This window comes from Homo sapiens, chromosome 5 (assembly GCF_000001405.40).
Source record: "Homo sapiens chromosome 5, GRCh38.p14 Primary Assembly".
Taxonomy (NCBI): Eukaryota; Metazoa; Chordata; class Mammalia; order Primates; family Hominidae; genus Homo; species Homo sapiens.
Genome location: NC_000005.10, coordinates 42,693,957 through 42,716,407, shown reverse-complemented (window position 1 = coordinate 42,716,407; position 22,451 = coordinate 42,693,957). Strand labels below are relative to the sequence as shown.

Here is a 22,451-nt window from a genome sequence, read left to right as displayed (position 1 = left end):
ACTCTAACTCTATGAAATAAGTTTGTGACCCCTGCACTAAACATTTCACTTAATCCTTATGACTCCCAGGGAGGCAGATGATATATCTGTGCAAAAACTTGGAAAATTAAGCAACATGTTCAAATCATGCATTCATAGTTGGCACAGTTGGGGCTCAAACCCAGAGAACCTGACTCCAAATCAAAACCCAGGTTCTTTGTGTCATGCTGCTGTTTCGCTGTTTTGTTTTTTTTTTTTTGATTCTGCATCTCGAAATTGGTATTTCAAATTCCCAAAAACATAAAAAGATGGAACATAATTCTAATTACAGGAAGCAAAGGTTTCCAAATGGCTGATGTTTGACTTTGTGACGTGTGCTTTTCCTTTTTAAATAGGATGATGCATTCAGGCATGCGCTAGTGGTTTTCTAGTGGTTGTAGTGACCTTATGCCACAGTGGCAGAGCATAAATCTAAGAGGCCCAAGCAGGTCATGCAGAGGAATAAAGCAAGCCAGTTGCAAAGTCATTAGGAGGAATGAGGATGGTGGCAAATTAAAGAATGTGAGCCAATCCCAAATAGGATAGCTGGTTGTCTGCTGCAGCATATGCTGCCTTGTTTAGTTTCACTACATCTTTCATTTTTTAAAAGATAATCCCCAAATCTGGATTTTTGTGTGAAAATTCTCTATTTTACAAACACTTTGTAGGAAAATCTTCACTCTGAAATCAAAACTAATTAAAATAAAATAACAAAATATGAATCTGTAGGCTGAATTTCGCTACTGGTTTGGAAATTCTATTTTAGGCTGATTCAGTTATTTCTTTCCTCAATTGGTAACAGCTCAAAGGCTGGGAGGGTTGTGTGGTAGGAACCAGTATAATAATAGCCTGACTTGAAACTATGTTTGTGGTTTTGTATCAGATACAAATAAAATTATAAATTTTGCTAGAGTTGACTCAATTAACTGGATTAAAGCAGGGTGAAGTGGGTTGGATAATGAATTGTGGACTCAGAAAATTTCAAAGGCATGTAGGACCTGACGCCACTTTACAGCCCTACAGTTCTAGGAAAAATCTCGTTCTTTGCAGTATCAATTTAATTGTTGGAACTACATGTTCTGTCCATACTTGCTGACAAATATTTGCTACTATTTCCCACTTTCAGTAGAACATGCAAATTTAGACAATGATAAGCGTTTTTAATGGGCAAATAAAAAATAAAGTTAATTCTTTCCTACAGAAAATTCAATTTAGTGCAGGAAATTTGGGAGAACAATAAAGATTTCAAATCAATTGTAGAATTTGGTGATTTTGACTAAACATTATAGTTAAGCATTTCATTATTTATAAAAAGCACTGTATTAGAAGTAATATGTTTTCTTGGAAATCCTACTTTTTGAGAGGATAATTTTTTCTTCCTAATATTGTTAACTAATATAACTAAACAACATAACAAATTGACTTGGCCTTCACAATGGCTAGAAATTCACAGCTAATACTAAGAGCTAATTACTTTACATACCTCGTGAGTTTATCTACTGAAGTTATGTATAAATTTTCCCACCAAATATATAGATTAATAAACTGAAATTAATCAACAGAATAATTTGGCTTTTTTGTTGTTGGCATTACTTAAATACACAAATTAAAATTCTAAAAATATATTTATTTATTTTCCTGAAACAATAGAAAATTGTGTTGTGATTTATGATAGCTGCTTTTTTGGAAAACAGGAATGTTGCCAGAAAGTTAGGTGCAAAATGGAATTCAGAATGAATTTTACTTTCCAATTGGTTTATATTATAAAATTGGACATGAAGCTCTACTGAAAATAACCCTTTCTGCATTCAGTTAGACTTTTAGCATGCTTGACACTATAGAAATCTAGCGTCCCAATAATTCTTCTTCCTAACAAAATTCTGTTTTGAAGTTTACAAGTGCTATACTACCTTACAAAACAAAGTAAAATCTTTTAAAATATATTAACATAGATCTCATTTTGATTTATAGATGCCTCTTGGCTTCAGCTGGAGAACGTATTTTCAATTCTAGGTAAGGGGATCAACTGTCTTGGTTACCTGGAACTGAGGGATTTCCTGGCACACCGGACTTGCATTGCTAAAAACCAGGAGAGTTCTAGGCAACCTGGGAGTGTTAGTCACCTTAATTCTAGGAGAAGCAACAAGATTAACCATTGGGACTTTAAAAATACCTTAAATGGGGCCAGGCGCGGTAGCTCACGCCTGTAATCCCAGCGCTTTGGGAGGCTGAGGTGGGCAGATCACCTGAGGTCAGGAGTTCGAGACCAGTCTGACCAACATGGTGAAACTGTATCTAAAAATACAAAATTAGCTGGGCTTGGTGGCGCATGCCTGTAATCCCAGCTACTCTGGAGGCTGAGGCAGGAGAATTGCTTGAACCTGGGGGGCGGCGGTTGCAGTGAGCCAAGATTGCGCCATTGCACTCCAGCCTGGGCAACAGAGTAAGACTCCGTCTCAAGGAAAAAAAAAAATTGTCTGTATATAAGGACTGTATCAGACTCAGCCAAAGGCTCAGTGATACTTTGAAGTCCTGGAATGAATGGGTCAACTTGTTGAGGACTTGAGGGAAAGAGCTAGCTCTTGGATAAAGAGGTACATATCACAAGGTATGCATAGTCACCAGCCTAAGCCTCTTAATGTCCTGTACAAGTCTCCAGATAGAATCTAAACCTCTAAATTGTCTAAGATAAATACAACAAATTGAGTTTTATATGAATGGTAAATATATAACTGGAGATAAAAGTGTACTAGGTTAACTAAAATTTCCACTCATAATTTGACAAAGAAAATATCAAATAACAAATAGAAACACATATGGAAATCTAAACAACTGGTACAAAATACCAAAGAATACTACTCCACACCTACCTTTGCTGTTTAGAAAATAAGAATACAAATAGCATCACTGTTAGCCCAAATATTCCAAAGATAATAATTAAGAGCCATGGAAAGTAGAAATCTGAAACACACAAGAATATTTCGCTTTCAGAATTACGAATAGTTGAAGCACAGTTTACATTTCCCTTTCCCTTTTCACAAAAAATTCATAATTTGTATTCATCTAATAAAGTCAGTGATTTCTCTTGATAACCACTGAAACAGAATGCAACGACTTAGTTTTTTTCTGTTTTATGAACATCTCTGTCCACTTTTCAAATCTCCTCACATTAAAAAAAAACTTCAAAATAAAGAAACAGCATATAGTTCAAAATCAATGTGTGTTTTATGAAAACAAACAATCTGCTTTAAGCATACTATGTGTCCAGGGAGTATCATAAAGGTTTCAGCTTCAGTAAAAAAGTGTTGCTTATTAACACACTACCTAAATAATGCCCACTCGGTTTCTTTTCTATTTTTTTTTAAGTGTGGTGATTTTCTTAGTTTCCAGATTGAAGATTTATCAAAAAGATGAAGGCAGAGTTTTTATTGATAAATCATGACAGAAACTTCTTAGACACAAATAACATATATTTTACAGCTATAAATATACGTATTTATATCAATAAATTAAATTATTAAAATATAATAAATATATCTCATGTATATTATATACATAAAATTGACAGAAAGATCACTACTGAGGCTCCCATCTTCAGGTTTTAGTATACTTTGTATGAGACTTGGGGGAACCTGTTTGTAAAACTTCTATTTCATTCCTTAAGATTGAGTACCTGCCAGCTACTTTGCAGTTGGTACCCAGTATTCTTACCACAGAGGCAGAGGCTAACCACTTTTTTATAAAAATGACAGATGAAATTTACCTTAACATTGCCATTTAAAATGTAGGTCTTTATGCTGAAATAGTCTTTTCTTATTTAAAAAGTTATTAAAATCCCCTAGGGAGATATTATAAGCATTTTAAAGAATTGGTGGGGGAGAAAAAATCATTTTTTGTCTTGTAGTGTCTATAATTTCATATCAATGACATATTCAGGAAAATAACATAAAGTTAGAGCTTCTTTTTTGTTAGTAACAGAAGGAAAAGGCAGTTTAAAAAATATATGTTAAGTGAATTAAATGCCACTACACTAAGCTTAAGGGTGTATAGCTATTGTACTTTTAAGGCCAGAATTGCATAATATCAAATAGTTTGGAAACAAGAATTCAGTTAACTAGAGTATAGAGAAAATGGTGCTATAGAAATTTTCATCCTAATGCTATTTAGTATCATGAGATTCTACCTGTATAGTAAATACAGAAATATAAATTTATTTTCTATGTAGCTTGTGGTTGTTTCATTAACAAACATATAGCCCTGTAAACTTCTGTTTTCAATGAAGATGGAATAGAGCCATTTCCCATTTGAGAATAATAATACTCTATACTTTCTGCTCATCATTAATCAGTTTTCTTTATTTCTGTATCTAAAAGTTTTAATTCTTTTATTCTAAATTCATAGGTCCCATTTTTAAAAACTTTAATCATTGTTGTGATTCTCCTACATAGGGTTTTCAAATGTTCCACGTCTCCTTTAAGTATGACTGCCACACTACTTATTAGGCATTCCTCTAGGTAAAAGCCACACCTCCGCTTTCTAAAACCGTATGCACCTGCTGTTGACTACCTATGCTGACTCAATATTGGGTTTCCTCTTAGATGTCACATATCTATCCATCCATATAGATACATACTTTCTTCCCTAACCATCAGTACAGCTTTTTTTCCTGATTATAAATTCAAAACAAACTTACTATAGAAAATTTCAGAAATATAAAAATATATAAAGAAAAGAATCATCTGAATTCTACCATCCGGAGATTGCCACCAAATTCCTGTCTCTAAACTTCCACCTGCCCCCCGGACTTCTCCTGAATGAAAAATTTGGAAACTAAATCTTCCTTCTGCTTTTGCAATGAACAATATCTGTTACAGATAGTGAGCTCAAGGTCTCTCATCCTGATATCTGATGTTAATATATTTTGATTTGGACAACACACTACCAGTGCAGGGGTGAATCAACTGTTATATTGACAAAAGCCAGGTTAGCTACTATTTTAATCTTTTATTTCTTTTACCTTCTTCACATGTAAATTGGCTCATCTGAGGAAGTGTTACATAGAGCACCTCACTGAACTCGCCATAATTTCCAGAGTTTCGTTGTTTGGATCTCACACGCACTTCATATTCCTTATCCACTTTCAATGAGTACACTGGAACTGATGTTGTCAATATAGGGTCCATCTTTCAAGACAAAATATAAACGCATATTGGCCAAAGAGTCAACAACTCAATGCAATGAACACTACAGGTATTCTCCCATTTTTATTCAGAATGGATTTTTATAAAGTAGGTAATATTTTAAAATGCATTGTGAGCATTTGTTATTTAAAGGAAGATTGATGTAAATAATCATTTTGTAAATGGATAATAGTTCACAAATTTAGTTTGGCATAAACCCAAAGATATGATAGACTTGCTTAAAGAAATGCAGCTATAACTGTGCATTAGTCTTCCAGATAGTTAATAAGATTAAAGTATATTAGAATTACTCTGAATGGCAGAACTATATGCCTACATATCTGGGATATTATACTTTTGTATGAAGGGAGACATAAGAACAGAAAAGCAAACATGTTTTCACACCAAAATAAATTGTAGCCATAGCAAGTTGTATATCAGTGTTTGATGGAAATTCCGGGTAGTCATTCACATAATCACAGAATTGGAAAAGGTCCTAGAAAAATCATAATTGCCTTTATTGAACTTCCAAATACTTTTATTAAAAGGAACTACATACCTAATCTGCTTGCTCTGGAAGGCTTAAAGCCACCATAAAATAGTTTGCTATTTAAAATCTGCAAAGAAAAGTCACCGGAGTTCTTTGGTAAGAAACATCTAGGTCTCACAACCCTTAAGGTCAGGATATTCCTTTACCTTCTCGGGGAGGGGTAGAGTGAGACTGTTAGACTTTTAACACATATTGCTATCAAAGAGGTATACTCAACTAGTGATGGTAGTTTCCTCCAAGTCAAATACTCAAAGCAGTTATTCAATGTGCTTTTATACTTTTTTTTGGTAGAACACCTTGTTCCTGTTTATAGAAAACTTTAAACACTCGCGTTTTCAACAGCATGGATTTTCGCATAAACAAAATTCTCATAATTTGTTTTATTAAGTCAGCAGCTGGGCCTTCAGCTTCTAAAACAAGTTTTTCTTTTACCTCAATAGTTTCTACTCACAAAGTATCTTTTTTTGCCTCATGTGTATATGACAGGGTTTGTTTGTATTTTTTATAGAAGCCTCTGAATATATGGGATATTTGCATGCCTAAAATGCTTTCTTTAAGGCAGGACACTGAATACTGAACTTACTTTATTATTTTTTTCTTAAGTTTTTTTTTTAAAGCCTATGTTTTCATCCTCAAAGCCCTTATTTCTCTGTTATTGTCACCAATACAATTTCTTTAAAGATTTCACTAATAGGATCAAAAAAGGGCCCTCAGTGATTCAAGTTGTGGTCCTCTCTTCATATTCCCTCAACCCTCCACACCAGCCACACCAAACTCAGATTTCGAGTGGCTCCTACTTACGTGGCTCCTATCATACCTAACCCTGTCATCTGCCTGTGCGGGGAACTGTTTCTCATCCAAGTCTAAGTGCAAGTATTGAGGAGAGCTGGTATTCTAAGTCTTTGCTGGTACTTTTCCCCACTCTATTCTGCCAGATAATATACTTCTTCTATTATTAATTATGTTTCATTGTGCAAATTTAGTGATACACACCTTTCTATGTTACATTGTAAATTCCCCAAGATCACTCATTATTTTTCATTTCCAAAGTCCAGTGCAATATCAGGTATACAGTGGGTCCTCAAGATATGGCACAGATATCATGAATAATTCCATGCTATTCATTAAGCCTTTAAAAAGCTGTAAGTTATTGGTTTACTAGATAAATAGCTGTAAACAACCACATGGTCATGCAAAATGTATTTACTAAAAAGGGCAGCCAGGCACAGTGGCTCATGCCTATAATCCCAGCACTTTGGGAGGCCGAGGTTGGCAGATGACCTGAGGTCAGGAGTTCGAGACCAGTCTGGCCAACATGATGAAACCCTGTCTCTACTAAAAATACAAAAATTAGCTGTATTAGCTGGGTGTGGTGGCTTGCGCCTGTAATCCTAGCTACTCAGGAGTCTGAGGCACGAGAATCACTTGAACTCTGGAGGTGGAGGTTGCAGTGAGCCGAGATTGGGCCACTGTACTCTAGCCTGGGGACAGAGCAAGATCCTGTGGGGGGGAGAAAAAAAAGCACACTGCTAAGCAAATTCATATTGCCAAATGGTAACATGAATTCCTGATGCAAGCGACACACACTAGGTCTTCCCCCTTTACCTATAAACCTGTTTTCTGCTTATGACGCCTGTGCTTCATAACCAATTATATTGTTTGTTTCTTCAAGAGATAAATAAATTATTATATATAAGCCCCTGGTCTTTGTCCAAGACCTTTGTAAATTACCAAACTTATAAATATCATGAATAAAAGGTATAAAGAAAAAGTTAACTGACCCCTTTGGTCTACCTAACGAGATTTAGCAGAGGTGCCACGAAAAGTGCAACAAAGCCATGTTGGGATATAGCCCTGAACAGTTGATTAACAAAGTTACATGCTCACAAGTACCTGGCACAGGGTGGGAGTTTCAAAGTGGTGGCTCAGTGAGACGTAACTATATGCCATGGCTTTTAGGGATGAAATGATGGTAACTGAATTGATGAATGCTAACATGCTGATTTATATCTTTGTTTTTTTCTAGGTTGTTTAACTTTTTTATTTCAGGACTCCTTTACACTCTTAAAAATTTGAGAATCTTAAAGAGTTTGGTTTAGTTGGGTTATACCTATCACTATTTACAGTATTAGAAATTGAAATGAAAAAATTTTAAAATCCTTATTTTTAAACTGAAAATAATAAATTGATTTTGTTAAATAATATATTTTCATAAAAATTATTGTACTTTCCCAAACAACAAAAAAGAGAGTGAGAAGAGTGATACTGTTTTACATTTTTGCAAATTTATTTAATGTCAGACTTAAAGGAAGATGACTGTATTTTTATAACTGCTTCTGAATTAAATCTATTAGAATGTGCTATTTTCGTAAATGAATAAAACCTGGCCTCACACAGATAAATAATGAGGAAAATGAGGAATATTTTAATAAACTTTTCACATAATTGTGAACATTTCTGTTTAACAATAGACTAAAACTCAAATGATAAATTCTTACAGGTTAGTGGAAAAATGAAACCTGAAACTCTACTGATGAACTTTTTGTACTTTGTTATATTTAAATTAACCATTCCTCACCAACAGACCTATCTTACAAGAACTGCTAAAGGGAGGTCTTTAGCTGAAAGAAAAGGAGGCTAATGAGTAACATAAAAACATATGAAAGTATAAAACTCACTAGTAAAAGTAAGTACACAGTCCAATTTAAAGTAGTCTAATATTTTCATGGTAATATGCAAATCACTTTTTAGAATGAAGGTTAAAAGACAAAATTATTAAAAATAATACTAGGTACAATAATTTGTTAAGAAATATGCAATATAAAAAGATGTAAGTGTGACATCGAAAATTTAAAACGTGTGTGTGTGTGGAGTATGTGGAGTAAAAGTGTAGAGTTTTTTATGCAAGAAACTTAAATTGTTATCAGGTTAAAATAGCCTATTATAGCCACACACACACACAGAAACCTAGGAATACATTTAACAAAGGAGGTGAAATATCTTTATAAGTAGAACTATAAAACACTGATGAAAGAAAATGACAGATAACGCAAATGGAAAAACATTCCATGCTTATGGATTAGAAGAATCAATATTGTTAAGATGACCATACTGCCCAAGCCAATCTACACATTCAGTGCAATACCTATCAAATTATCAATGTAATTTTTCAGAGAATTAGAAAAAACAATTGTAAAATTCATATGGAAGCAAAAAACAGCCCAATTGGCAAAGCAATCCTAACTAAAATGAATAAACCCAGGGGCATCACATTACCTGTCTAATATTTTCATGGTAATATGCAAATCACTTTTATTTTAGAATGAAGGTTAAAAGATAAAATTATTAAAAATAATACTAGGTACAATAATTTGTTAAGAAATATGCAATATAAAAAGATGTAAGTGTGACATCAAAAATTTAAAATGTGTTTGGGGGGGCGGTATGTGGAGTAAAAGTGTAGAGTTTTTTATGCAAGAAAGTTAAATTGTTATCAGGTTAACATAGCCTATTATAGCCACACACACACACAGAAACCTAGGAATACATTTAACAAAGGAGGTGAAATATCTTTATAAGTAGAACTATAAAACACTGATGAAAGAAAATGACAGATAACGCAAATGGAAAAACATTCCATGCTTATGGATTAGAAGAATCAATATCGTTAAGATGACCATACTGCCCAAGCCAATCTACACATTCAATGCAATGCCTATCAAATTATCAATGTAATTTTTCACAGATTTAGAAAAAACAATTGTAAAATTCATATGGAAGCAAAAAACAGCCCAAATAGTCAAAGCAATCCTAACTAAAAAGAATAAACCCAGGGGCATCACATTACCTGACTTCAAATTATACTACAAGGCTACAGGAATCAAAACAGTATGGTACTGGTTAAAAAAGAAGACACATAGATCAATGGAACAGAACAGAGAACCCCAAAATAAAGCCTCATACCTGCAACCAACTAATATTTGACAAAGTTGACAAAAACAGGAAATGAGGAAAACACTGTTTAATAAATGGTGCTGGGTAACTGGCTAGTTATATGCAGAAGATTGAAACTGGACCCCTTCCTTTCAACATGTACGACTATCAACTCAAGATGGATTAAAGGTTTAAATGCAAAACCCCAAACTATAAAAACCCTAGAAGAAAACCTAGGAAATACCATTCTGGACATAGGCCTTAGCAAAGGTTTCATGACAAAGATGCCAAAAACAATTGCAACAAAAACAAAAATTGACAAATGGGATCTAATTAAACCAAAGAGCTTCTGCACAGCAAAAGAAACAACTGAAAAAACAGATAATCTACAGAATGGCTGAAAATATTTGCAAACTATACATCTGACAAATGTCTAATATCCAGAATCTATAAGGAACTTTAAATCAACAAGCCAAAAACAAACAGTCCCATTAAAAAATGGACAAAAGGCATAAACAGACACTTTTCAAAAGAACACAAACATGAGCCAACAAGTGTAAGAAAAAATGCTCAACATTACTAATAATTAGAGAGAAAGGCATATCAAAACCATAATGAGATACTACATCACAGCAGTCAGAAAGGCTATTATCAAAAAGTCAAAAAATAACAGATGCTGGTGAGGTTGCAAAGAAAAGGGAACACTTATATCCTGCTGGTAATAATTCAAATTAGTTCAGCCATTGTGGCAAGCAGTTTAGCAACTTCTCAAAGAACTTAAAAGAGAATTGTCATTTGACCCAGCAGTCCCGTTATTGGGTATATACCTGAAGGAATATAAACCATTTTACCATAAAGACACATGCATGCGTGTGTTCATCATAGCACTATTCACAATAGCAAAGACATGGAATAAAGAAAATGGTACACTGGATAAAGGAAATGTGGTATATGTACACCATGGAATACTGCTCAGGCGTAAAAAGGAACAAGATCATGTCCTCTGCAGTCACATGGATGGAGCTGGAGGCCATTATGCTAAGCACACTAATGCATGAACAGGAAAACAAATACCACATATTCTCACTTATTAGTAGGAGCTAAACATTGAGAACACATGGACACGAAGACTGAAACCACAGATACTGGGGCCTACTGGAGGGTAGTGGGTGGAAGGAAGGTGAAGATCAAAAAACTACCTTCTGGGTACTATGCTTATTACCTGGTGATGAAATAATCTGTATGGTAAACCCCTGTGACATGCAATTTACCTATATAACAAACGTGCACATGTATCTCTGAACCTAAAAAAATAGTTAAAAAGTAAAAAATAAAATCAAAAATATCTTGAGACAAAAATGGAAACAACATAGCAAACCTTAAGGAATGCAGTAAAAGTCGTTCTAAGAGCAATGGAAGTTCATGGCAATAAATGCCTCCATCAGAAAACAAAGATCTCAAATGAATAACCTAACATTTTACCTGAAGAAACCAGAAAAAGAATAAACTAAGCATAAAGTTCATAGAAGGAAGGAAATAATAAAGATCAGAACAGAAATAAATGAAATAGAGAATAGAAAATATTGAGATGGTTCCATAATTTTGTTTTTGGTTCTAGTAATGTGATGTATTATGTTTATGTATTTGCGTGTGATGAACCATCCTTGCATCCCTGGGATAAATCCTACTTGATCATGGAGAATGATCCTTTTAATGTGCTTTTCAGTTAGCACATTAAAACAGTAGAAAAGATTAATGAAACAAGTTTTTTTGAAAAGATAAACAAAATCAACCAATCTTTAGCTAGACTAAATAATAAAAAAAGAGAAAGCCCAAATTAAAAACAAAATCAGAAATGAAGGAGGAGACATTACAACCAATACCATAGAAATACAAATGTTCATAAGAGACCATTCTGAAAAATTATATGCATGAGAAATGAATAAATTCCTACACACAACAACCTACTAAGACTTTCTTGAAGAAATAGAAAATCTAATAAACCAATAATAAGTAAGGAGATTGAATCAGTAATAAAAAGTCTGTCATCAAAGAGAAGTCCAGGACCTGACAGTTTCACTGGAAGCTTCACCGGAACACCAATCCTTCTCAAACTTTTCCAAAAAGTGGAAGAAAAGGGGATACTACCAAACTATTTCTTGATGCTAGCATTACCCTTATACCCAAACCATGAAAGGACACTACAAGAAAAGAAAATTATGGGCTAATATCTCTGATAAATACAGATGTAAAAATCTTAAACAAAATACTAGGAAACTAACTCAAAAGCACACTAAAAGGAACATTCTCCATGATCAAGTAGGATTTATTCCAGGGATGCAAGGATGGTTCATCACACACAAATACATAAACATAATACATCACTTTAACAGAACCGAGACGAAAACCATGGAACCATCTCAACAGATACAGAAGAAGCACTTGTCAAAATTCAATATCCTTTCATGATAAAAACCCTTAACAATTAGATATAGAAGGAATGTATTTCAACACAATAAAGGCCATATATAACAAACTCACATCATAATAAACAGTGAAATGTGGAAAGCTTTTCTTCTAAGATGAGGAACAAGACAAAGATGCCTACTCTTGCCATTTTTATTCAATGTAACTCCTCTACTCTATTCTACTCGATTCAAAATCCTAGTCAGAGCAATTAAGCAAAAGAGAGAAATAAAAGGCATCCAAAATTGAGAAGGAAAAAGTTAAATTGTCCTTGCTTACAGATGACATGATTTTATATATAGAAAACCCTAAAGACTTCAACAAAAAATTGCTAGAACAGATAAACAAATTCAGTAAAGCTGCAGGATACAAAGTCAACATACAAAAATCAGTAACATTTCTATACACTAATAAGGAACAATCTGAGAAAGAAATAAAGAAATCCCTTTCACAATATCTATAAAAATAAAAATAAAATAAAAGACCTAGAAATAAATTTAAACAAAAAGGTGAAAGATCTGAACACTGAAAACTGTAAAACATGAAGACAACACAAATAAATGAACAGATAGCCCATGTTCATGGATTAGAAGAATTAATATTGTTCGAATGTCCCTGCTACCTAAAGCAATCTACAGATTCAATGCAATCCTTATCAAAATTCCAATGTCATTTTTCACAGAAATAGAAAAAGCAATTCTAAAATTTGTATGCAACTGCAATAGACTATGAATAGCCAAAGCAATCTTGAACAAGAAGAACAAGGATGAAATCATCACTCTACCAACCTCAAAACATAATACAAAGCTATAGTCATCAAAACAGCATGGTACTGGCATAAAAATGACATAAACCAATGTAAAAGAATAAAGTGTTCGGAAATAAATCCACACATTTACAGTAAATTGATTTATCACAAAGGTGCTAAGAATACACAGTAAGGAAAGGACTCTGTCTTTAAATGTTGTTGGGAAAATTGGACATCCATATGCAGAAGAATGAAATTATACCCTTATTTTACCTCATATACAAAAATAAACTCAAAATCGATTAAAGACTTAAATGTAAAACCTGAAACTGTACAACTACTGGAAGAAAATATAGGAAAAAGCTCCATGACATTGGTTTGGGCAATGATTTTTTGGATATGACTCCATTGGGAACAGGCAACAAAAGTGGAAATAGATAAACGGGATTACATGAAACTAAAAAGCTTCTGCACTGCCAAGGAAACAATCAACAGAGTAAAAAGACACTCTATGGAATGGGAGACAATATTTGCATACATCTGATAAGAAGTTACTATCTGAAATATATAAGGAACTAAAACAATTCAATAACAAGAAAATAACCCAATTAAAAAATGGGCAAAGGACCTGAATATAAATTTTTAAAAAGAAGATATAGAAATGGCCAACAGGTATATGAAAAATGCTTGACATCTTTAATCATCAGGGAAATGTAAATTTAAACCACAATGAGCTATCAGCTCACAGAAGGCATAGAGTGCACAAAGATGTTAGGATGGCTATTTTCAAAAAAAGAAGAGATAACAAGTGTTGGTGAGAATGTGGACAAAAGGGAACCCTTGCACACTATTGGTGGGAGTGTAAATTAGTATACCCTCTATGGAAAATAATATGAAGCTTCCTCAAAAGATTAAAAATAGAACTACCATGTGATCCATTATATTATTCCACTACTAAGTATATATCCAAGGAAAATGAAATCAGTATGTTGAGCCAGAATATCTGGGCTCCCATGTTCATTACTTATAACAGCCAAGAAATAGAATCGACCTATGTTCCATTAATGGATAAGTGGATAAAGAAAATGTGGTAGGTATATACAATGGAATGCTATCAGCCTTAAAAAAAGAAGGATATCCTGTCACTTGTGACAATGTGGATGAACCTGGAGGATATTATATTAAGAAAAATGATCCAGAGACAGAAAAACAAATACCACATAATCTCACTTATATGCAGAATCTAAAAAAGTTGAACTCAGAAGCAGAGAGTTGAATGGTGGTTATCAGGGGTTGTGGGCAGGGTGCAGAGTTAAGGAGATATTGATGAAAGAATTAAAATTTTCAGTTAGTAGGAATGAGTTTAAGAAATCTATTGTGCAAAATGGTGACTATAGTTAATGCTTATGTATTGTATTTTGAAAATCTCTGAGTAGATTTTAAGTGTTCTCAACACACAAAAAAAGGTATGTGTGGTAATGCATATGTTACTTAGTGTGATAGAACCATTCTACAATGTATCCATATTTCAAAAAAATATGTTGTACACAATAAATATACAAAAAAATTTTTGATCATTAAAAAAATTCACGATTCTATCTAGTACTTTGAATGGATCATTTCCCCATGCATGATTTGATTACATCATGTATTAGTAATTTGGAAAATATTGGTTAACTGAGTTGTAGATTTTTCTAAATGTTCATACATTTTATTACACAATATAATTAAAAAGTCACTTTCATTAATATCACCATCAATCTCTTCAAGAAAAGTCTTCAAATATTAAAACACTATCAAGCTCACGGTTGGAGACACAAATTTTCGAAAAAGGCAAAATGAATTGCTTTGAAAAGTCAAATTTTTTCCATTGCAAAAAATACTGTCAGTTGTTTTTCTTGAAGCGACAAGCTTGCCTCATTCTTTTTTGACAAATGTTTGCCAATTCAAATATGAATAACCATCTGCCAGTTTATCAATGGCTCTTCCAAGTAAAAATGGTGCTCCAAGCAATAAAAGCAACTAGTTCAGCTGGCAACTCAGTCATTTAAGCGCTTTTCTTCAAGACAAATACAATACCTCAGTACGCAGCAGACATGCTTAATGTGTAATTCCCATATGTCACACAGAATATTAATAAGCTATGTACTCAAAGGTCGAGGTTTAGTAAAATTAACAATTTTTACAGCTTCATCAAGAACTTCAAACGTGAAACTGGCTTTTTCTTCCTTCTTCATTGGGAGTGCATGACTATTAGTAAAATTTGATCCTACTGCCTTGCTTCATGCTAAGGTGCCAGCAGTGTTTCCAGCATTGCTTTTGTGCCATTAAGTTAAATTTCAACATAGTTAATAAAATAATATTTTAGTGTATTGTGAAAATAGTACTGAACTCCCTGAAAGGGTCTCAGGGACCCTCAAGGGTCTGTGGCTCCCACTTTGAGAACCGCCACCTCAGGCATTTAGCACAGTGCCTTCTGCATAGTAGTTATTTCAGTACCTGTTGTTAAATAATGTTTGATTGTAGCTTGGATTTAGACAGTCTTGTTTGACTTAGCATCCAATCAGGCATTTTATTTGTACCAAGTTACAGAACAGATATCTAAATTAAAATGATTCAGAAAATAGAGCCTCAAAGCCCAGTATTGTAACTACTCAAATTTCCTCCAAACTTAACTTTCCTCTAATGACAAAATTGGCATCTTTTTCAGTGGCTCACTGAATGTCCTGGTGTCTCAAAATTCTGGGAGTGATCTGTGCCAGGCTGCTGGGCATCACCTGATGAGTGGCCAGAAACTGCTTGGCTTGGCTGTGGCTGTGGCTGTGGCTGTGGTTAGACAGATTTAGAATTAGTTATATTGGGAGCAGCATGATACTCCTGTTTTTCCTCTTGTTATGTGCCATGTGAAATTTATCAAAATGCTGAGTTCCATATGCTTGGTAAGGAAGAGAGGGATTCAGAGGTCAACTGGTACCATGCTCTCTAATTGCCTACATAAGAATCTCAGCTTGATTCTTCTCTGAGGTATGTAACAAAACATCCTTCTGAAACCTCTAAGAGACAAATTCCCTCCCTCTGTTTTCCTATAGACACGTATGAATTTGTTTTAGTGGGAGTCCTTTGAGTAGCAGCAACTGAAATCATGGGAAAATATTTGGCCATAGTCACTGTTGACTGGATCACAAACTTTCCCATTTTTATCCACATCCCCAAAGACAGCTAAGTGGCCAGTCTATAATTTTGCTCTAAAGTTAAACTGGACAGCAAGAATGAATGGAGAAATAGTTTTCCTTTCCTTCCACAGGCCTCCATATATACATAAGCATCTCCTGTCTTACAGAATTTCAAGACAATATTTTACCGGTTAAATAATGTTTTCTCAATTAAGAAATTATGGAGCATACAGCATGAACATGTGGTATTAGGTCAAAGGAAAGTCTAATGATAAATGAGAGAGAGTTTGTTGAAATAGAAAGAAAAGTCAAAGTGTAAGGTGTAGCAACATCTTACCATTTTCCATTTAGTTTCATTTACTTCTTTGTATTGAAGTTCATACTCCAGAACCATCCATCCTTTCTGAATATCTGCATTGCGTGGTGCTTCCCATCTCACTTGGATATCTGCATGAATCCCAGTTAAACTGACGTTCAGTAAAGTCCAGTTGAGGGCAATGGGTGGATCTGGTTGCACTGTGCAATTCAACAGAGCATTAGTACACAGACAGACACAATTTAATATTAATGGAAGGCATTCTTCTCAGAAGACCAAATTACTTTCTACATTTTTGATCATTCATGCTCTTATTTCTTCCAATATTTTTCTTATTATAACTTTCACTTTATAAGAGAGTAACTTTTTTTTTTAACTCAAGGATGACTTGTTTTTAACTTCTAAATAAGCCCTTACAAAAATTCCTTTTGGAGTAAAACATCTGATCACTATTTACAAGATCTGCCATGTTGTATATTTCTTTTTGCTCTGATATCATAAATGCATCAGGATTTTGGCAAAGGAATTTATTTTCACTTGAAACTGAAAAAACAGAGAGTCAGAAAGACTTACAGAATTTAGACATGGGGCTGCTTCGGAACTAGGGGTAGAGAAACCTTTTTTCTTGCAACTATGTATGGCCTGGGGGCAGAGACCCTGTTTACCTCATTTCTGTGTTGTTCCCTGACTCATCTTTGCCTCACTAATCCATATTCCGTCAGATTCCGTCAGCTGTACTTTCAAGATATAACAGAATCCAACCATATCTCACCGCCTGCACCACTATAACCTGGTCCTAGCCATTATCCTTTTTTACTCTTCTTCAATCTTCTCATACAATCTTCCTGCACACTCTGCTAATGCTCCCTAGCTTTGTGATCTTCCTAGCCACATGTGATATTTTCTTCTGACATAAGAAGGAAGAAAGCATTATGCTAGTCTCACAAATGGTGACAATTCAGTGTTTTCTGTCTTTTTGACTGTCACATGAACAACTTGAAACATTGTTTTCCTCAGGTTCTATTGATATACTCTACAGTTCCACGAAAATTTGTTGCATTCTGCTTAGTAGGACCTCAAAGACCACAATTTCTCAGAGGCTGATGAAGAAAAATATGGATTCCAAAGCTAGGAACTATGTCTAAATTTATATTCTAGAGAGTTCCTGGTAAATTTTTGCTAGTTGGATCTCATTACTGAGGGTTTTGAAAATCACTTGCAGATACAGAGTAAAATTTACTTTCTTTTTCTGCCATATATACAGAAGGCCACCTAGAGTGTTGCAGAGTGTGCATCCCTAGCGTTGACTGGAGATAACTTTACAGATATACACAGTGAGGAGCTCTTACTGGCTGTCAAATCTGTTGGCCAAAGAGGGAAGCTCTTGTGTGCACCCACAGTGAAAACAGGCCTTATGGTGGAGGAGCATGCTGTTGCCCTCTGTGGGGTCGACACCACCTTTTTAAAAACAGGGAGAGTCAAAATTTGATGAATCATGACTACATTTTGAAAATTAAATTGGAAGGATATGCAAAATGGCCAAACTACATATGCCGATATAATGGCAATAATTCCTCACCCTTCTGGATTTGTTGGAGATTCAGGAATCCTGATAATCAAAGCTTAACCGTTTAAAGTGACCAAACTATAAAATTGTTTTTAATGGAAGATTTTCTATAACTCATTACTTATGCTGCATTTGAAAAATAGAGGATATGAGACAAGGTCCTTTTGGAAAAGATTTGGTACCACCATTACAGGCATAACAATGACCTCCTGTGAGATACCATTACAGGCATAATAATGACCTCTCCTTTATCTCTATACATAAATCTACATGCTATATTGACAACTCCTGTGAGATATTTAAAAAATATCTGAAACTTAATATATCCCCAAACAAACCCTTGCTCTTCCTCTCCAAAACCTGCTCTCCTTTCCTCTTTTCCATCTCTGTTAACGAGGACTCAATTCCTCTAGTTGCTCAGGATAAAAACAATGAACTTGTCCTTGGCTCATCTTTTCCTCACTAATCCACATTCCGTCAGCTGTACTTTCAAGATATAACAGAATCCAACCATGTCCCACCGCCTGCACCACTAATAACCTGGTCCTGGCCATTATCCTTTTTCATTCTTCTTGCTTCATTTGTCTCCCCACTGTACCCCTTTGGTCTTTGTCCCCCTCCAGTCTATTCTCCATGCAATCCTCAAGCGAACTGACACAGTGATTATCCTAACACTTACGTTAGATCACATCGCTCATCATCTAAAACCCTCCAAAGGCTGCCTACCTCACTCCAAGTGAAAGCCAAAGTCTTTGGCAATGGTTGGGTAGATTTGACTGTCTTGTCTGTGCGATTTGGTCTCATACCAGTCTCCTCGCTCACTCTGTGCCCACTCCACCGCCGGCCTGCTGTTCATTGAGTGAGGAAAAGCATGCTCCTACTTTGAGATCTTTCTTCTGGCGTGCCCCCTTGCTGAAATGCCCTTCCCTGAGACACACACATAATTATCCTCTCCAATCCTTCTTTATTCAAATGCCACTGCCTCAGGGATGCCAATCCTGAAAACTCAACACTGCAACCTCTCCAACACTCCTATTCTCCTTTCCTATATTTCTCCATAGCATTGTCGCTTTCCATCCTCGTTGGGATTAAATCCCACCAGGGAAGACAGTTTCTATCCCCAGCATGGAGAACATTGACTGGCCTGAGAGAAGAGCATAATAAATATTTGCTGAATGAATTGAATGAATGACAAATGTCTAACTAATATAGTACTTCAAATCCAAAGAATAGCCCTGTGAGGTAGTACCATACATACATATTTTATGAGGAAGCTGAGGCTTATAATGATTGACAACTTTCTCAAGATCTACCAGGGTTACATTAGTTCTTTGTTCTCTTTCACTCTCAGCACCTTGCCCCACAACTATTGTGCTAGTTGTAGCTACCTGTCATAATCTTTTACCTTGATCATCTCAGTCTTTTAACCTCTTCTACCTCTAGTCCGTCCCACTCCAATCTACGTTTCACATTGCAACAAGATTAATTTCTCTGAGCATTAATAAAGAGACAAGTGGTACTGCAAAGCCTCAAGAGTAAGAGCATGGAGGCTGGAGGTTCAAATCCCAGCTCTATCTACTAGCTGTTTGACTTGAACTAGTCCTTTAACTGCTCTGTGCCTCGGTTTCATTATCTGTAAAGTGTGATTGCAAAAGATGGTTTTTATACCTGACACATGGTAAGACTTTTGTGACTGTTAACTATTAGTATCCTCAAGTAATTTCCCTATTTAAACATCCTCAAAGGTACCTCGTGACAGTTAAAGTCCAAATTCCTTTTTGGGGCACAAACAACTACTGATGATTTCTCCAGCTGACTAGGAGGGCTTCCTAACTGCTCCTGAGTCCCTGAACATGTTGGGACTACTAAGTTACTGTTGTAATTACTAAGTAACTACTAAGTTACTGTTGGAACTTAGTAGTTACTGAAAGGCAAGTCCACTGTGGTACCTGACAATACTCACTCATGCTTTTGACCACTGTGGGTCATCACTTTTTTAAAAATAGGGAGAGTCCAATTCCAGTTCAGAGGTAACTAAACTGTCACCATCTCTGTGCAGCCCTTCCTCATCCCTCAGGCCTGTCAGTCATTCACGCCTTTGGCCACCACCTTTGCAGCTCTGCATTCCACGTATTTCCAGGCTAACACCTATCACGCTGCACTGCAATTATTTGTGAACATGCCTGACTTCCCTCTTTGACTGTATTGTACTTATTCTATAACCACCACCACCAGAACAGTGCGTGACACATGACAGGCATGTCAGCCAGGTAAATGAGTAGGACTGGCTATTGGCAGAGAACAGGGCTAGAACATGGGTTTTAACCCAGTGTTCTTGCTACTATCCCATTCTGCTATCCCATTTAGTTTCAACTCAACAGCTATACCCAGTGATGTTAGGACACATACTAAATTGTCTTTGCAAAGCAATTGGGTTATCTTTACTGCTTGATACAGTTCTCTTAATCTTCTCCCTTAAAGTCAGCCTATTAGATTTTATTTGTTTCTATCTGTAAGTTCTAGCCACATACTCCTATGTCTTCCAGTCAGCTTATGCCTAGAAAACCACATAAAAAGAACAATACATTTGGGAGAAGCAACGAGAAATTCCTATAAGCAACAAATGAGCTTTTGTGGATAGATTTTGAGGCACTAATTTCAGCTACTCAAAGTCCTTCTTTGATTCTTTCTATTTTGCTATTTATACTATTAAGGTATAAACATGACTATTCTAATTACAATTGTTTGTTTTATTTGTTTTGTTTCCACCTTGTGTCCATATGATGGGCAAAGGATCCTCTGTTTGGATCTTTCACTTAGTTCACTGAGCTGATTGTCTCCAGTATTTGTTCTGAGATCTAATAAACATGTCTTTAAAGTAACTGTGGCTGTTTTGTAAATGTAAAATTCCAGAATGATTATGCTTTGTGATAAAGAAAATCTAGGCTTTGATTACAGCAATGGTAGAGGTCAAAGGCCAACGTATTTCAGTGAATTTGAATATAAGGATCCTATCAAATAATTAGGAAGTAAGAAATCCTAAGAATATATTAAGTTCACCCTTTGCAGTGGAACATAAAAACACAACGCAGCTTCAAAGATATCCTAAAGGAAAAGACTCCACAAGGTTCCTATTCTCTTCTTCACAACATTTACTGCCAGGCTACTTTATGTTAAAGTCAACTTAAGTTCCCCCTGCCCTTTTCCTCTTGTTCACCAGCTGATCCCATCTCCTGTAAAACAGATCTCCATGTATCTATAGAACACTGTTACAAAGTCTTCCTACTTGATTATACTTGGACCTTGCAGGCTTCCCCATTTATTTAGTCTAAAACTATGTCAAATGAAACAAAAACCTGTGATTTACCTATTTCATCAACAGAGAAACACTTTTCATCCACTGTACCACCATTGCTAGTTAGCTTGATACAATAAGGTATCCAGATGGAGGTAAACGATGAATTAAAGTAACAGCTGTTTTCCCCAGCAGAAACATAATCAGGGCATTCTTTCCATTCTTGAGTCCATTCTTGAGTGTTCCTAAAATGAAGGGTTAAAAAAAGATTAATTGTTCCAAAAATCATGTTGTAGCTTAAGTCCAAGTAAGGTGCTTGATAGTCTGATTCAATAAATTGGAAGACAAATATTTTGTGAAGAGGTATTTTAGTAACATCATTTCCGAGACATATCACATCAGTGGACAGTATCATCAGTGTCTGACGACTGCTACGAGGCCGTTTGGTACTTCTGCCTATGGTAAAACTTCCGTTTATTGAATGAATATGCTATGCCTGCTCATAAATCGATTCCTATGGTAGGTACTTTATTATGCCAGTTGTATAGATGAAGGTTCTGAGACTTAGGGACATTTTAAAAATGTTCATTAAAACAGTACAGAGAATCACCCCCAAACTAGAGATTCCCAGAGAACAGTGAAGGTTTAGACCTGGCTGTTTCACCAGCCTATGGTGAAAGAAACTGAGGAGACAAGTTGATGTGTGCTCCAGGCAGAGTGATGCATTATATCCAGCACCAACGCTGTGCAGATATAAAGATAAGTAAGATGTGGTCCCCTAATTTCAGGCTAAAATAAGACTCAAATTCCCATCTGAGTAGTTTTTTGGGCCTCTTATATTCATTCTATTGACATTTAATGAGAATTGGTTATGTCTAAAACATAATGACAGACACTATGGGATTCATAGATGTCTAAGGAATTCCTCCTGCCTCAGAAGGAAAGAGTAAAAAACCATATTACAAAGCAATGTGGGTAAGTGCTCATTAGTAGTGCTCTCTAGGGTCCTTAAAAGTTCAGAAGAGGGAATGATTGCTCTGGCTCTTCATGGAAGGCTTCAAGGTGGAGGTATGTTTTTAGCATTCTTGAAGGATGGGTAAAAGTTTAATAGATGGCAATACGGCAAGGAAGGGAATAAACAGAGAGGTCAAAGGGATTGAGGTAAGGAAGTATGGGCATGAGTGTGGTAATGGAAGTAAAAGGCA

General features: G+C 35.3%; 1 protein-coding gene across 11 annotated transcripts in view; it reads right to left on the bottom strand.

Annotated features, from left to right (window-relative positions):
• Positions 1-22,451, bottom strand: part of GHR (growth hormone receptor) — a 298,440-nt gene that overhangs the window by 5,471 nt on the left and 270,518 nt on the right. For all 11 annotated transcript variants that reach the window (NM_000163.5, NM_001242460.2, NM_001242400.2 and 8 more), the window contains 4 exons: positions 21,319-21,491; positions 16,406-16,584; positions 5,036-5,201; positions 2,889-2,979 (listed from right to left, as the gene is read on the bottom strand). In NM_000163.5, the coding sequence (NP_000154.1) occupies positions 2,889-2,979; positions 5,036-5,201; positions 16,406-16,584; positions 21,319-21,491 (609 nt within the window). The remainder of the gene's footprint in view (positions 1-2,888; positions 2,980-5,035; positions 5,202-16,405; positions 16,585-21,318; positions 21,492-22,451) is intronic.